At 51.0% G+C, this 17,664-nt stretch overlaps 1 protein-coding gene across 4 annotated transcripts; it reads right to left on the bottom strand.

Moving 5' to 3' along the window:
* On the bottom strand, positions 2,330–13,647 carry PRRG3 (proline rich and Gla domain 3). 4 transcript variants are annotated; one of them, NR_033262.2, is made up of 4 exons: positions 9,589–9,947; positions 9,433–9,470; positions 8,098–8,258; positions 2,330–7,748 (listed from the first exon to the last, which is right to left on the bottom strand). NR_033262.2 is itself a non-coding variant. In NM_001372165.1 (4 exons), exons 3-4 carry the CDS (start codon positions 8,155–8,157, stop codon positions 7,221–7,223), a joined length of 588 nt encoding a protein of 195 aa, NP_001359094.1. In that variant the 5' UTR covers positions 8,158–8,247; positions 9,433–9,470; positions 13,511–13,647; the 3' UTR covers positions 2,330–7,220. The 4 variants fall into 4 exon arrangements, 3 of the variants coding, with proteins under 3 accessions (NP_001359094.1, NP_076987.3, NP_001359092.1); NM_001372165.1 differs by lacking the exon at positions 9,589–9,947 and adding an exon at positions 13,511–13,647 and having other exon boundaries at positions 8,098–8,247; NM_024082.4 differs by lacking the exon at positions 9,589–9,947 and adding an exon at positions 12,979–13,281.

Genomic DNA, 17,664 nt, shown 5'->3' with positions numbered 1-17,664 from the left:
ACAACCTGTGGGGCACCAACGTTGTGTCTATTCTTCAGGCTTTGGGTTCTCACATCACTTCCCACAGAAGAACCCTGGAAGAAGCATTCTGAAGCCCACTTCTCCTTTCCCAACTCACCTGCCCTGTGGAGACTTTTGGCAGCTGTCCCAAGTCTGTCCAGCTTGGCAGGGAAGAAACTGCTTTGGGGACTGGTTGGAGACTGACAAGGTGCCCCTCTGTCTTTGCCAGCATCTCAGAGAAGCTATGATGTTCACCCTTCAAGATTTTCCAGAATGTGCATCATGTGCTTAGGTTGGAGGAAGGAGCAACAGAGTCTTCCTCTCATGAGTGGAGCATTATGAGCCAAAATTTGTCCCCCTAAAATTCATATGTTGAAATTGTAAACCCCCAGGACCTCAACATGTGGCTGCAGGAGTAATCAAGGAGTAATTAAGTGGAAATGAGGTCAGTGGGGTAGGACCTAATCCAATCTGACTGGCATCCTTATAGGAAGAGGAGATTAGGAGCACCGAAAAGAACAGAGGGACAATACTGTGAAGCCACAGGGAGAAGATGGCCATCAGCAAGCCAAGGATACAAGCCTCAAAAGAAATCAACCCTGCCAGCACCTTGACCTCAGACTTCCAGCCTCTAGAACCTTGAGAAAATCTTCTGTGGTTTAACCCCCCAGCCTGTAGTATTTTGTTTTGGCAGCCCAAGCAAACTAATACATGGAGCTTGGTCTCCGATTGTAGAACACAATCAGTCCACACGTTTTTAAAAATTGAACACTTACTGTGATCCAGGCTCTGTGCTGTGTTCTAGGGCAGAAGTGGTGAGAAAAGTTATATATGGTCCCTGCCCAAATGGGGTTACCAGTAGGGCAGGGAGAGGAAGAGGGCATTCTGGAGGGATCTATAGTCAACACAAAACCAACGCAAAGTCACCCTTCCCCAAAAGGGACCAGCAGTGCTAGGTGCATGGCCTGGGGTGGGGCCATCAGGACAGACCCGGATTCACATGATGGATCCAGGACTTCCTCTCTGTGAGATCTTCGTCAAATGACATGCCTTTGCTGGCTTTGCTTCCCTCTGCTATAAACTAGGGTTAGTTATAAACCCCATATCGCAGGTTTCTCGAGAGGATTGTGTCAGTCAATGCATGTACAAGGCCTGGCATACACTAAGAGCTCAATAAATGCTGGCTATGATCATTTATAATCACAATTCAGGCATTTTCCCCACTGCCCTTCCATCCTGTCACTCCTTGTAGCCTCAGGTCAGCTACTATGAGGGGGTGGCACTGGTGCAGGATGGGAGGCTGGGGAGAGGGCAAGGAGAGGGACCCCACCTTCCCAAGCCACACCCTTGAGGCACAGGGTCTGCCTTTCACCTGATCCCCTGTCTCTAGGGATAGAACCATCTCCCTCCACAGTCACCCCATTAAGTCCCTGGCCCTGACTTGCCCTCATCGTCTATAAGCAATTCAAGTGCCTTGGCCCCAGAACCTGTGACTAGATTAGCAGGGGAGGCCCAGTCCATTGGATGGTGCATACAGGGGACTTTGGAAGCTCAGGGCATCCTTCATGTATTAGCTTCCTTGCATGGGCTGGCCTGGGACCCTAAGTCACTGCCTAGAACATTTGTCTCTGGCAAAAGAGCCTAAAGTTCAAAACCTATGTTCAGAATATGACCCCATCTGTGTGCCTGAAGGGCCTTCGAGTTTCCAGCATCCCCAGAAGGTTAGCATCACTCAAGCCCCAGCTCCCCAAGGCCTCTGGCTGCCATTCTTGGCATTTGGGCTCCACATTCAGTCCTCTAAGGAGGTCCCAAATTTCATTGCCATTGTCCCATCACTTCCAGGGTCTTCCCGATTAAAGGACGGATGACTTTCATTACTTGGGGTTGGCACAACTAGCACTTGCGACTTCCCGTGGCTATATCTCTCTGCATACCCACAGCTGGGAATCTCTGGGAGCTAAGACCATGTTTCCTCTGTGCAGAGGCTGGGCATTATTGCCCTCTGAACAGTCCCTGATCCTTGCCATCTTTAGAACCTAGGAAGCCCAGCCAGGGCAAAGCCTGAGTATTGTATACCTTCCGCTCCTCTCCCAGCTCTGAAACCAAGTTTCTAACTGTGATTTCTGACAGATCTCACCAACCTCATCCCAGAAGGATGGCTCAGGAGATCATCTTACACACTGGGGACAAACTTTAGGACCCAGGACATGTCTGCTTCCTGCTCCTGGACTGTTTTGGGCTTCTTCCTTATCTACAGTCTGACTCACAACCACCCATACCCCTTGGAAGTTTGGGAGTCAGCAGGGATCCAAGATGGATGACGACAGGATTCAAGTGGATGCCATTTGCTCTTTATTATTATTGTTTTCTTGTAAAGAAGGAGACAAAATGTAACAGCCAAATTCAACAATTATAAAAAGAAAGAGAGAGAGAGAGAAATCAGAAGCAAGTTTGTCTGTTGCCCCCAGGCTCCAATGAAATGCTGACATATACTGAATGTACAGATTTCCCAGCTGACAAGGGTCAACACATGAATACAAGCACAGTTTAAAGTGGTATCAAAATTAATCCATTTCACAGTAATTATTTCTATAAGCTCAGTTGCACATATCAGGGTTTCCACTGTCACAAATTCACAATGTCAGAGCAAAATAACAGATGTGTTCAGGCCTGGGAAATTGGTATCGATGAGGGGAGATGGATTGAGAGGCAAAAGCAGCTGGGGGATTTGTCCCAATCCTGAAGATCTGTGTTAATGCTCGGGCTGGGGGTGGGTGAAGGGCAGGCACTGTTCAGCAGTCAGATATCAGTACAGTGAAACAACTGTTGAGGCATTGAGCTTGAGAGGGTGTGCTATTTGGGTATGTTTGTCAGATAAATTCTTGCTAGAGAGAGACTCGCTGCCCACAGTCTGAAAGGAAAAGCTCCCACGTTTGAATATTTGGAGGCGAATGATGGAGCGGCCAGTCTGACAGCGAAGCATCTGCTTTACAGAATATTTAGAAAGATACATCATGTGTATTAGTTTAAATTGCAGTCTAGTTCACAAACTATGTTATTCACAGGATAAATAACGGAGTAGAGTGAAAGGCTGCAATATCCAACATCCCTGTGATGGAGAGAGAACAAGAGATCACCCTGTACATACGAGAAGTGCTGAACTGCAAAGCTGAAGGCACGGTGAAGGGATCCTTAATATCTTGAGCCTTTTCTTTGAAAAGGGTACTCATTTTAAACTGGATTTCTCTTACACAAAAGACCCTGAACATTGACTAAAGGGAAGAATATTTCAAATATTTTTATGTAGCCAGAATCACAGCTACTGTGAATTGTCTTAAGTTGTGATTTTCTCGAAGTTCTGAAGTAGTGGGCTTCAAATTAATGGGCTTTTAAAATAGTTGCAAGCAGTCTGATTACCGTACTTTTAAATTAGCTAATTATAGTGATTAGTATTAGTAGAGTTCCGTGGCGGGGGGTGGGGGGCTGTGCTTGTTTCGGAATCGATGAAGTCCTGAAATGGAGCTTCATTACTTGTCAAGCTGAAAAGCCACCTAGACCAGCAGCTCTGCTGCCAAGATATCCATCTCAGCCTCAACTGTGAGTGTCCACACATGAGACAGCACACACACATACTCCTAGAAAGACAGAGCCTCCGTGAGCGAGAGAGACTCTCTCCATGATCTCTCTCTTGGACAAAATAACAATCTAGAGGCAGTGTTGAATTTTTTTTCTTCCTTCTCATGGGATGTCACTGGGTTGTCAAAAGATCAACTCTGGCTGGGGGTTGCGATGCTCCACCCACTGGGAGAGGGGAAGCATCCGGCTCTGACTACTTGACAAAAAGACACTTTCCTGTCCTGAATTCCTCATATTCGGGCTACCAAAAAGGCAATGTCCAACAGATCAGGCAGACTCCTGTTTTTGGAAGCACCCTAAGGAATTCACATTCATGGCAGTGGGATTGGAAGTTGAAAAAGAGGCCTCCCGGGGCTGACTGCTCAGCACTGCGTCTCCCTCAGCCAGGGCTGGACGCAGCTGTGTGGGTGGTGTGTACACGCCAGGCACCTGTGCACCCCACTCTTGCACTTGTGCTTTCATTTTGAAAACCGGAGGCGATGGGAAGCGGGGGAGGGACAGGATTTCGATTTTTCTTTTAAAAAATCTTAAAAAGTTTTTGGTTGAAAACAAGTGACAGTCACATTTCAAGAAAATTTTTAAAACCTTTTCTTTTTGAAAAATGAAAAACATCTAATTAACTAGTCCCGCGATACCCAAAGTCAATAGTCACACATCTTTCCATACACACACACACACACACACACACACACACACACACACACAAAAAAAAAAAAAAAAAAAAAAAAAAAAAAAAAAAAAAAAAAAAAAAAAAAAAAAACCATGCCCAGGAGTACTCAGATTTCTTTCAGCTGCTGACACCCACAGAACAGAAGCCTGGGCCAGGGGCACCATGCCAAAAGGGCGTGTGAGCGGGGGTTGCATAGGGTGGAGACCTGCAGAATGGAGCTGCTTTGTCTTCTTCCAAAGCCTTTTTCAAGGAGGCAAACAGTGACAACTTTGGGGGTTGGGTGTCCAATATAGTTAATGCCACGTTTCCTTGCTCAGGGCCCTGTCATCAGGCTACTCAGCCCTGCGAGGGGAGGTGACATTCCTCTTTTCAGACCGGATCCCTCCTGGTACAAATATAGCTGCACACCGGCTATTGTTTCAGATAAGCAATGAGAAAAGGCAACGTGCACACATAGATACACACACACACACACACACACACACACATAGAAGTCCAAAAACAGCAAAAATGTAGCCACGAAAGAGTCAGCATTGTATCAAATCCACCTCCATACAAACACAGAGTTTGAAAAGATATGTACAGGGCATTCATAAAATCCAAGTGTGCATCGCAAGGAGTGATGCCTGCTGTGTGCTGTACAGTCTTTTTTCTACAATGTGCTGCAGAAACCATCCCAGAGACCGTGGTGCAACCCCACCTGGCAGAACACCATGAAGCATCTGAACCGAACATCACAGGCCTTAAGCAACCTCCTGTGACTCTTCCCACGGCCTGTCCTCAGCCCCTGAAGGACACATGTTGCCCTCCATGGGCCAGGCCTTGGGCCTCTTCCTGCTCTCTCCCATTACCACCCAGCTGCAACTCAGATGCCAAAGGCAGCGGGCATTTCTTGGCAAACTCCCTTTGGCTCTGATCAGTGGAGCTCATGCCTGGCTCTGTGCTAACTGAGTAGACATATTGGGATAAGTTTCTTCTCACCTGCTCCCAGGTCACACTCTGGCACCTACTTGAAGAAATACTGGGAGAGCCAGGGCTAGCCCCGAGCTTCAGGCTTCCCCAGGTCCCCCAACATGGAAAAAGCAGGGGCCTCTTAAGCCAAAAACCCCTTTGTGATGAAGGGCAGGAGTGCAATGCTGAAGGCCCAGGGGAGGGAAAGACAAGGAAACGAAAGGTAGAATGTCACCTGCATTCACCAGCATCTCTGGCATCAGGGAGCTCTGGAAAGGGAGGACGAGAGGATGGAAAGGGTCAACTGACGGGAGATTGACTCTCCAAGTGGAGACTCAACATCAGAGGCATATGAGGGCCTCAGCTAAGACTGCTCCCTTATAACCTACACCTTTCTAGAAGACTCTTCCTAAGGCAAACCTCGCTGGCTCCCCGGCAATTCAAGCACTTCGCAGGCATTTGCTCAGTCAGCCTCCAACGGGCCTGTGAGGTAGGGGGAAGGATGGAAAACCCCAGCCACAGGGTGGAGTGGTCCAAGCTGGTGGCCTCACTGGGGTAGGGACACAAGCCTTCTAACTGGAAGCACGTCCCAGGGCAAGTCCTCAGGGCTAGAGCAGCCTCCAGAAGTCCTCTGTGGCCTGAAGGCAGGGCTGCATTCAAGGAAATGAGTCCCAATGTCTGCCTTAGAGAGATATTTTGACAGAAAAAAGCTTGTCAGCTCAGTGGATTTTAAATTGCTGTGGTTGCCAATAGACGCAGGCCATGCATTCTTGCACCACACAAAAATTTGCTACAATTTTTAAAGCACCACAGAGGAGAAATGGTTTGGTGTTGAGGTCAGGAGGATGGAGACGGAAGTAGGGGGAGGTGGTATCAACAGTGTCTAGCATGGTCACTGACAGTTAAAGGGCAGGTGCCTTCTGCCCCACTGCTGTCCAAAGCCTCACTGAAAACAGACTGGCACCTGGCAACAGCAGAGCAAACCCCATATGGGCCTTCAACCCCAGGCCACGGGCTTCTCCACAAATAAATGTTTTAAAAGGGACACTTTAGGATCTTCTCCTGAGATGCGCACCATCGTTAAGGAGAAATCCTCAATCTGAAGTTCAATTTCAATGCACCATTCGCAAAAAGTAGGCTCATGCCAGTGGGTAGTGGTTTGAACACAGCTGGTCCACATGTCTGGAGAGACAAGCACACTAGAAACTGAATGGCAGAGTCCACGTGGGCCCCTTGGTCAATGTGGAAGAGGAAACTCTGCCACCCAGCCCTCTGGCCCTCATCCTTCACACACCCTGTCCTCCTTCCAGGAGTGTGGGGACAGGTTTTAGGGGAGGCGGACATCACAGATCCATGTGATAAATTTCCCTTGGCCTCCTATGAACGGCCCGGGTGCTAGAGTTTTGTTCTATTGTGTTAATTATTTATTTGTCATGATTTTTTCATTTTGTTTTTGCTCAGTCCTTGTCCCTGTCCTCCAAATGTAAGCAAGGACAGAAATCACAGAACTGTGGAGGGTAAGGGGTGCTGAAAGGCTGGCTTCCTTCCCTTACCCCTGAGGCCCAGAGCTCTAGACACAGGCAGGCCTCCAGCCAGTCCCACAGCCCCCAGGCCAGGCCTGTGGACATTCTGGCCACAATCAACTCAATGGGGTTATTCCTTTGGCATAAGAGAAGCCAGTTCCTGATGGAAAGACAGGATGTTGGAGGCTTGGGGGTCATCCCAAAGAGTTGGGCACTTTGGCCTTTGGCTCTTCCCGGGGGCTTCGACTCATGCGTGGTCCCTACCCCCACCCTCCCCACCTGTCTCTGACAACTGACTTCCTAAAACTCCACAGTTAGGGAATTATTTGGCAACAAGGAGGCTAAGGCTGTTTTGTGGTGGCACAGTCTTTAAAAAGTTAAAAAGAAAATAGGAGACCTCGGAAAGAGGCGTTCATCCAGGACAGGGCACAAACGTCCCACTACTTGTCAGCGCCAGGGTTGGCGGCCACTATCTCCTCGTACTTTGGGGGTGGGTCACTGTAAGACACGCTGGCCTCCTCACTGCTGCTCTCTTGGGGCGCAGTCACCTCCTCGTAGGAGGGGGGAGGGGTGGTGCTGGACAGTCTGGAGAGAGAGAGCTCAGGGAGGTAGAGGGTGCTCTCTAGCCGGACTGTGGTCCTGCCCCCCCGACTGGGCCCCAGCACCACCTGGGGGCTGTTCGCTGCCTCTCGGTGCCCAGAAGGCTCCCCTTGGCTATGCACAGTACCCCGGTACACCATGACCCGGGGGAGGGTGTGCCCGGCGCGACTGGCTAGGTACCGGTTCTGAGCATAGGAGGGGTGGTGACGGGTCGCTTTCTGCAGCTGGCACCTCCAGATGATGAACAAGGCGATGACAATCAGCAGTGCCACCCCCAGAAGGGGTACCACCACATACATGGCATCTGAGCTCTGCGAGGGGTCTCGGACAGAGTAGACTGCATTTGGGTACCCTTTCCAGAACTCCATCTGCAAAAGAAAAAGTGGTACTTAAGAGAAGCTCAAGCTCCAGGTGGGCTCAGAGGCCTTCAGTAACTCTGGTGCTTCCTACCCTTCCCCATCTGACTTGTCTCACAGAGTTACCAGAGAGGCAGCAGAATGTACCAAGGGCAAAGGACAATGCTCCCAAGTGAGGAGGACCCCAAAAGAGTCAGGCAATGGGACTGTACGTACTTTATCTGCTCCGTGATGGCCCTAGTGGCTATGCCTTAGGCTGGGTGTCTTTCCTTGCTTCTGATTGGTCTGCATTACCAGGGCCTGTTCTTGCTATTCCTGAGGCTACTCCTACTCCCAGAACCAGCCCCAGGGTGGTACATGCCGTTTTCTCTTTGTTCTCAAACACTTCCTTGACCTCCTCGTAGCTGCAGATCTCCTCCATGCACTCTCGCTCGATGGTGCCCTGGCGCAGCTCCTCCAGGAACTCATTGGCACGAGGGAATCGTTTCAGGACCGAATGGGCATCCTTGGCCTCCAGAAACACTGAGGAGAGAGCCCTACTGAGGCCTGGAATGGGGAGATGCCCAGGGGCTCCTTCAAACCAGGCCCAGCCCAGCAACTGAAGCATAATTATGCAGGGAAACAAGGCCGAGTGAGCAGGCAAGACACCAGGCTTCTGATCAAAGGACATGGCCGGCCCTTTGTGAAAGGGATGGAAGGGCTGACATTCTATGGTGCCATGATACACCTGTCTAGAATACCACAGCCCCAACAAGGTTTAGGTCCCTGGCTACATGGAAGAAAATGGTAGCCAACTGCAAGGAAAGTGCACGTTGCACAGGAACAAGAAAGAATAAGAATTGTAAGTAGGCAATGTTCAGTGACTAAAGCTCCAGTATCTTCTGCATCACCTTGAAAAGTGAAAGTTGGAGCCCTTGCAATGAGAATGTATTCCTCTTTAAGGCTGATACTGGTGGAACTAATACCAGATAATCCTAGAAGACTCTACCAGGGTGGTGTTCCTCCACCTGAACATCCACCTGTGCCACCAGGTGGTCTGGCATCAATAGTCTTGTTCAAGAAAGTCTAATGCAAAGCCAGCCTAGGCTAGATCAGACAAGTGGGCATACACGAGCCTAAGAGCACCTCTGGGGATGGGAAGTAGCAGGGTTCAGATGGAGAGTCTAAGCTTTTACAGACGGGGCACAGAATCTCCCTACAATACCGTCTTTGGATGGTGGGCATATCTACTTATTCCAGAGAGAGACACCCAGCTACAAACAGGCTGACCAGAATAGCTTGAGCTCTGCACCCACATAAGCCTAAGTTGAGACTGTGAAGGATGAAAGAAGAGGTGACGTTTGCTCCTGTTGTTCACCTAGAGGTGGGACTTCCTGGTTCCCATGTAAAGCAACTCCCCCTGGATGCCCAAGCTGGCATGTCTTTGCCAGCAGGCAGGCACCCTTCCCCAGGCCCTATGGCCTGTCACGTTAGTGTCACTCAGGGAAGCCTGGGTAGGTACACATCTACAAGTGACATATACTTCAGAAGGGAGCCAAAGAGTTGAGAGGGCAAAACTGCTACTCAGCCATTTGGAAAATGGCTACAGGCCCACTTGGGGGGTAGGGGGCAGGGAAGCTGGGAAGGACTTGAAACCTGACTCATGAACCCCTAGGCATGGCCCTCCACGGCTCTGCCCAGGCCTGGAAAAACTCACCTGCCATGATGCTCCCTCAGCTGCAGGGTCTCACTTCTCTGGAGTAAGAGAAAAGCAAAGTTGCAGTGAAACCACATCTAGAAATTTACAGGGCACACTCTTGGCTCTGGGATGTGCCCCCCTCCCACTGGCGTGGTCAAAAGGTTGAAGCAGCACCTTGTGGGGTGCGTCGTCCTCCATGCAGCCACCCATGGCTTCCGCTGCTTCTCATTCTGCCCCAAGCTCTTCTCCAGAGACCTCCCCAGGCCCAGTAGGGCCCAAAGCAAACCTTTCAGCGTTTTCCCCCAAGAACATGTTCTGAGCATCTATAAGAACCAAGGGTTGACCTTTTTCTTTTAAAAAGGAAAGCTCCTAAAGGCTGAGGCTCCTCCTTCCTTGCTCCCCTCAATGAATCTTTGCAACTTCCAATTGGAAAGGACCTCAGAGATAGATGAGGAGATACAGCCCAGAGAGACGGGCTCAGACAAGGTTAAGCAAATCAACAGTGACAGTGGCAGGACCAGAATTCACAACTAATTTTGAGCACAATGGTGAGTCACAGATACCTCCAATGACAAGCATGTTCCCTGAAAACAAAGCTTAACACAGCATCAACCATCTCAAAAGTCACTGCCCTGCTGGGACTAGCCTATAGCAACCTTCAGTGGACACATCTTCTACAGGGTCTCATCCTCCATGCACAACAATGCTGCATTCTTCATATTCCCAGGCATAATCAGAAGGCCCAAACCCAGGTGACCCGCTGTGTTCATCTTCACCAGACAAAGAGGCAAGATACCTGGAATCTTCTGGAACCAGGCCTCTCTTCTCTCTTTGCATTAAAGCCCATGGCAGTAGAGTGCCAAGACATGAATTTAGATGCCCGACACTGAGACGCTAACTACAAGAGTTGCCCCTAATGTGAGCTATTGTCAGAAAGCCTTTCTCCTGCTAAGGAGCTATCCAGCCAGTACTTAAACCATGGTCACAGCACACTGCTCCCTCTGTCCCTCCCCACAATACACACGCCCACTCATACACACATTCTAGAGCCCTTGCTGAGCTGTCCACATCTGGGAGCAATCACCCCACTGCTCCCCTCCCCAAGCAGAAGCTCTGGTTTGATGACTAACTGGATGCAAGACACGTGAACTGTGGAATCCATTGAGCCCTCCTTTTTGCCTAGGCTGCCAGGAAGTTCAGCGTCACTATTGCCAGTCAAGCACAGGCACCCTGGAAGCCCAGCTGTTAAGCACATATGCTTCTGTCCTGCGATGTGGTATACAGCTTTCTATTTATGTTTCCAGTGTCCTATTGTGCATTTATAATATGCCACCTAATCCTTTTGGCAAACAGGTAGGATATAAATCAATAATTTAGGCTGGTCGCGGTGGCTCATGCCTATAATCCCAACACTTTGGGAGGCTGAGGCGGGCGGATCACCTCAGGTCAGGAGTTTGGGACTGGCTTGACCAAAAAATGGTGAAACCCCATCTCTACTACAAATACAAAAATTAGTTAGGCATGCTGCGGTGCATGCCTGTAGTCCCAGCTACTCTGGAGGCTGAGACAGGGGAATCGCTTGAACCAGAGAGGCGGAGATTGAAGTGAGCTGAGATTGCGCCACTGCACTCCAGCCTGGGTTACAAAGCCAGAAAGAAAGAAAGAGAGAAAGAGAGAAAGAGAGGGAGAGAGGGAGAGAGGGAGGGAGAGAGGGAGGGAGGGAGGAAGGAAGGGAGGGAGGGAGGAAGGAAGGAAGGAAGGAGAAGGGAAGGGAAGGAGGAAGGAAAGAAGGAGAAGGGAAGGGGAGGGAGGAAGGAAGGAAGAAAGAAAGAAAGAGAGAAAGAAAGAGAGAAAGAGAGAAAAGAAAGAAAAGAAAATTAAAGGTAAAACAGCAGATCTGACATCTATTTGTGGAAACGCCACATCAAGGGGCTTTCTCTTTTGAACCCTGCAACAATCTCCCTCAAAACTATCAACATGTGAATTTGTCAACAGATGGCCTGCCTTGTGAGACAGTTGGCCCTCAATGTTTGTCAGAACCAAGATGGAATATGATCTCAAAATTCTGCTTGCATTATGGATACCTGAGCTTTATGTGGTGAGGGTGTGGATATAGTATGCCTCATGGCAAGGATTTTTTGCTTGAAGAAAAATGGAGCTGTTGTATCTGGGTTTGAGAAGAATGCATATAGTCTTAATAAGGGAAGAGAGAAAAATATGCTTATCAAAGGAAACTGCAGTGGTTTTTTAAAAAAATGGAGAAAAATTTACATAATAGATTACATATATCCATCTTTTGTCCCCCACACACCTAGCCTTGGTCAAAGGTGGCTATATGTCACACCTATCATAGACCCGAATACATGTTATCCTGACGCACCTGCTAAAGTCACCAGTTCATTTTTAAGCTTCAGTCGAGCCAGGAACACCCCCAAAACAGTTCCCATGGCATGGCCCACTCCATTAGCAATTCTGTAGCCACCTTCACTGCTGCTGCTGCCTGCCACGAGGCCTCTTCCCCCTCCCTCCCCAAAATGTAGCGCCTGCTTCTTCCCCTATAAATACACCATCAGTAGACAGTTACTATGGCAACAATAAGGAAGCAATCGTGAGGGCTCCACGACAAAGAATGATGCTGCAGCCACACATGTATATGTCCCCCATGCCCCTGGTGGATACTGTAAAGCTGACTGTAGGCGGAAGGAATTTTTAACCCACTCCCCGCAGGAACACAGCTGAATCCTGACAGCCTGGAAAGGAAGGAAGGCAGGGAACTGGCCACCACAAAGACCTTGCTTAACTCCACCCCAGACTGAAGCTTCTGAATCTCAGGCCTCTGGGACACAACTCCCAAAGTCCCTCACATGAAGCCTGGTGACCACCAGAGCACCTGGTGTCCCAAGACATGGCCTCCAAACCACTTCTCCAAACCCTAGACTTTATTTCCATCCCTCAGAACTGATCGCCAGGAAAGGGTTCTCCAAATCGCATGACTCATCGACCCACCCAGTGACACGACAACTCCCAAATTATGCTCAAACTCAAACTCTGGGGCCCCCTTGTCCCTTTCCACTCAGGCCAGCCCTGAAAGTGCCTGTCCTCGCCCACCTTCGCTGGACACCAGCGCCCTGACCCAGCAACACTCTTCTCCCGGAGCTGTTCAATACGCCCCATCCCCTTGGCCCGGACAGGCCTCTAGATCTTCCCTCCTCAACAATGCCCTGCACCCAGCTCGTTGGCCCTGGATACCGAACCGTGCCCTCGGGACTGGGACACCCAACCCAAATGGCCTCACCGTTCTCCGGGCCCAGAAGGCGGCCGCCCTGTTTGCGCACGCAGCCCGCCACCTCGCTGCTGCGCCTCTTCCAGCAGGGGCCCTGTCCCCGCCCACCTGCTCCCCGTCGGCCAAGCCCCCCGGTCCGGCCCAGCCGTCTCCTCCCTCCCTTCCTCCCCTCCCCGCTGCCCTCCCACCGCCCCGGGCACCCTGTCGCCCGCCCCTCCAGGGCCGAAGTGCGCCTGGAACCCCCGCCCCTCGCAGCCGGGCGCCCAGGCCCGGCCCATTACCTCGGCACCCCCCTGCCTGCCCCTGCTTTCCTCTGGGGGCTCCGCAGCTGCCCGCCCCCCACACCCCGCCGTTCCAGGGCTGGCCTCGCGCCCCGCGCCTCGCGCGCCACGACCGCAGTGCCCCGATCGCCAGGCCGCAATCGTCGCGCTGCCCCGCGCACCGGGCCGCCGGCCGCCTGGCCGAGTGGAGGAAGGAGGGGTGGGGGCGACGGAGTGGGCCGAGGGGGTTGGGAGAGCGGGCGGGCAAGCCGGGCCGGAGGGGCGGCGGCGCGCACCGAGCACCGCGCGCCCGCGCCCCACTCTGCCGGCGCCGCCCCTGCCCCCGCCCGTGCCGCCGGGGGGCGGGGCCTGACTGGCGGGCCTGGGGCACACAGAGGACCCTTGGTCAAAGCCCTGGTCCAGTCGTGACCCAAGGCGTGGGCCCTCGGAAGATACGGCGTAGCAGGGAGCTCCGGCGGCCGCTCCCAAGGCCCGCGCGCCAGGCGTCCCTGCGCAGCCCAACCCGCGTCCTGTCCCCACCCCCCGGGCTCACCTGCCATTCAGGCCCGCCGGGCTCCTGGGGCCAACGAAAAGAGAGGGGGGCTAGCCTGCAACCTAGGCCTGCCTTGCCAGGGATCCACAGGGCCCTCAGAAGAAGGACCGAGTCGAGGCCGCGTTCCGCCAATGACTGGGTGACCTTGGCTTCTTCACTTACCTACCCCCACCCTGCCCCGGGAAGGCAGGCTTCTCTCCTGCAAAGTCCGAGAAATGGGGAGAATTCTGCCTCCCTCGCGAGGCTGCAGCGATTTGAAGGAGGAAATGGGTTTGGAAAACTCTAAGGCTCAGTAAGGGGAGAAGGAATCTTCTGCGACTGCAAGGAGCGCTAGATGGGGGCTCCTTCGGAGGCCGCACTGTGAGAAGTTCAGCATGGCAGGACAAGACGCATAGCAGAGATTACACTAGTCCAGGAGGAACCACATGACAGGTCCACTGCTAAGAGAGGGGCAAAGGGGTTCCGGGTGGGCTGAGGTTCTGGGTCTAGGAAAGCCTCCCTCGGAGAAGGGGATGCTGGGTTTTTAGGGTTCCTTTTTGTTCTCTGCACATCTAGAACCCGGCCAGGCACTGGGGTTGGCGTCCTCTTCCTCCCTCCACCCCAAGTGTTGCTTTTGATGGGAATGAGTCTCAGAAGGCGGTTCCAGAACCACTCCCACCCCTATCCCAGGGCGGGTATTAGCAACCTGCCTTGCCAGGGGGCGGAAGAGGGGTGGGCGAAGGCCTTCATTGCCACCGGCCGCCTCCCCTCCAACCCCCAGGGCCTGGCTCCCCTAGCTCCCCCGATGCCTGCCTCTACACTTCTCTCCCCGCATGGTGCTTTCCCTTCCATTTCTGCCTCCTGTTAGAGTTCTTCCCTAGCTTGCTTGCTATTTCACGGCTGCAGGAATCTTCCTTACCCACGACAGCTCTTCTATGGCCTTCCCCCCATGCCTCCGGAGCCTGTGGGGCAGAATTCCACAGACTCTTCTGGAACTAACCTCTTGAGTTTCCTAGCCCACCAGCATGTTCCCATCGTGATCTTAACACCGCATAGACCCTTGTGCACTTGACTGTTAAAAAAGCAGCTCTTCCAGTATGTGCACAAGGGTCTATGGCTTCTGCCCTCCTTCTGGCACTCCCACTTTAGCTTCTGGCTCCAGCCACATGAGGCTACTTCTACTTCCCACTGCCCAGAATGCCTTTCCTCCCACTGTGGACCTGGAGCACTTGCATTCATTCTTCCCACACAGTGCGCATGACATCTCTACTGTGAGGTCTTGCAGGATCCTTCCTGCACCCCAGTCCGCCATTCCACTCTCAGGACTATCTGCAGAGACTATGAACATGGGGGCCTCGGTGGATAGCAAGGTGGGGGAGGAGGAATAGCAGTGCCTCTGGAGCGTAGTGCCTGCTGCACCTCTTGGTGGTACTACATAGTAGGCTCTATTATCTCCAGCAAGTGTTTGACCTCTCTGCATCTCGGTTTCCTTACCTTTCAGATGAGAATGATGCTAACAGTGCCTGCCTCAAAGCGTTGCTAAGCGGGTAGTGGAGCTAATCACATAGAATGTGCCTGGCGCTTAAGTGTGAGCTTAATGCACATCAGCTGGCCTGCATCCAGCTACCTTGTGTTCATTTGGTAGCTCACTTACGTGCACACTTGCCTCCTCTCTTGGGGCCAGGGACCTTGTCTCTTCCTGTGTCCCTACCATCTCGCACAGAACCTCATCCACAGCTGGTGCTCTCTAGAGACTTGTCAAGCTGAGGCTGGAGGGGCTGGGGCTGAGAAGGCCTCCATTGCCTTCTTACCTGCCCCCATTTCTGTTCCGGCAGAGCCGGAATTGTGGGTGTATGACCCATGGAGTCAGACAGGGCCCTGTGCTTAAGAGGGCTCTGGACACCTGGCTCAAGGCTGTGCTATCACCATCTTGAAATTCTAATGCTTTTTGAACAAGAGGCCTTCATTTTCACTTTCACTGGGTCCCACGAAGTATGTAAGCCATCGTGCCTATGGGTGGCATTTCCAATATCCCCGATCCTATCCCAGGTAACAGAATTCTCAGTCACCCACCACTTGTGATTCCTCACCTTCTCCCCTCTGCAAGCCTTGACCAGTTGCCTCTTTCCTCATGTCTCATCACCACCAATTCCATTACCTTCCTCCACATTGCCCCTCCCCAGCCCCATCCCTGTGCCTCACCCTTTGGCTAAGAGGAGCACTCTCTGACAACCTCATTTACTCCCAGAGTTTCACTCTTTCCCCAACACTCATCCATTCCAGAATTGAATGGATAACTTTATCTGAGCTCTGCTGCTCCCATCCTTTTATGTCCTGACTGAGCCTAAGCATTGATCCTTACCCTGTAAGAGACTCATTCCATCTCTGCAAACCGATCAACAAGTTAATCAGGTGTCATGGATTGAGTTGTGTCCCTCTGCAAATTCATGTTGAAGTCCTAATCCCCAGTACTCCAGAATGTGATCATACTTCGAAATAGGGCCTTTAAAGAGGTTATTAAGGTAAAATAGGGTTATTAGGCTGGGCCCTAATCTAGTGTGACTAGAGTCCTTATAAGAAGAGGAAATTAGGACACAGGCATGTACAGAGGAATGACTATGTGGAGACACAGGGAGAGTGTGGCCATCCACAAGCCACCAAGAGAGGTTCAGGAGAAACTGACCCTGCCCACACCTTGATCTCAGACTTCCAGCCTCCAGAACTGGAAGACAATACATTTCTATTGTTCAAGCCACCCAGTCCACAGTACCTACTTTGTTAAGACAGACTGAAACAACTCCTACATCAAGCATTTACTCAGTGATACTACGTGCTATCCACTGTTCTAGGACTTGGGATTACAGAAGCCAAAAAATTAAATAAAAACTCCTAACCTCATGGATATTAGACACAAAAAAAAGAAAAACAAGTCAAAGATACAGGATGCTAGATGGTGATTGGTGCCATGAAGAAAAAGTGAAGCAGAGATTTCAAATAAGGTAGTCAGGAAATGTGCCACTGAGAAGATGGCATTTGAACCAAGATTTGAAAGAGTTGAGGGGCCATCCTATTCCAGGTTGGGAAATTCACAAGTGCGAGAGCCCTGGGAGCAGAAGCTTAGCATGTTCTAGGGTTAGGCAGGAGGCTAGTGTGCTGAAGTGAAGCAAGCCAGAGAGGAGGATGGTAGGCGACTAGGTCAGAGTAGTTAAGATGGGGGTAGCAAGAGATCATGCAGGGCCTTGTAGACCACTGTCAGGACTTTGGCTACTAGTCAGAGTCATGTGGAGAGACAGTGAGGATTCTGAGTCAGTGGTTACCACGATCTGATTTCTATTTTACAACAGGCAATGCAGTGGAGGTGGTAAGAAGCAAGCAGATTCAAGATTGATTTTGATGGAAGAGTCATTAGGGTTTGATGCCAGTTTGGAGTTGAGCTAGGACAGAGACAGAAATCAATTATGGCACTAAGGTTCTCAGTCAAGGGAACAGGAAGGATGGAGGCCCTTTAACTGAGATAAGAAAAACAGTGATGGAATGGGTTGTATAGACGTGTGTGAAGTTCAGGGGCAATATCAAGGCTGGAGATATAATCACAGAATGAGTAACATTTCGTTCATATTACAAGTCATGAGACTGGATTGGATCCACAGGATAATGAATGTAGAGATAGCAAACCAGCCCCAGAACGAAGCCCCAGGCAATCCTACATTTAGACGAGGAAAAGCCAGCAAGGGAGCCAGTAAGGAGTGATGTTGAGGCAGGAGGGGTGCAGCAACACGTAGAGACAACTGCAGAAAGTGTATCAGGAAAGAGGCGGTGAGCAGCTATTCCAATCCTACGGACTGGACAAATAAGAAGAGGACAAAGAATTGAGCATTATGTCTGTCAATGTGGAGGTCATGAATGTCTTTACAGGGGCCATTTCCAGGAAAATGTGGAGGGACAAGAGTAGGAAAAAAGGAATTGAAAACAGCGAGTACCCAATGATTGACAAGTATTGTAAGGAGTTTTGTTGTGAAGGAGAACAGAGAAGCTGGGGTTGGGGGTGGTAGGGATATGAGAGGACAAGATAGAAGTATTTTTAAAATATGAGATAAATTCCAGCCCTGTAACATGTTTGTATGCTAATGAGCCAGTAACGTGGGAAAAATTGGTGATGCAGGAGGGAGAGACAC

The sequence above is a fragment of the Homo sapiens genome, chromosome X (genome assembly GCF_000001405.40).
Source record: "Homo sapiens chromosome X, GRCh38.p14 Primary Assembly".
Taxonomy (NCBI): Eukaryota; Metazoa; Chordata; class Mammalia; order Primates; family Hominidae; genus Homo; species Homo sapiens.
The sequence above is the reverse complement of the archived record's forward strand: the minus strand, read 5'-3'. Positions and strand labels throughout refer to the sequence as shown.

Bases quoted from the DNA above. Each gene is read 5' to 3' on its own strand.
- PRRG3 (NM_024082.4), bottom strand. The intron at 7,749-8,097 runs GCATGTACCACC...TTTCTTTTGCAG, and splicing joins TTGAGAACAAAGAGAAAACG to ATGGAGTTCTGGAAAGGGTA.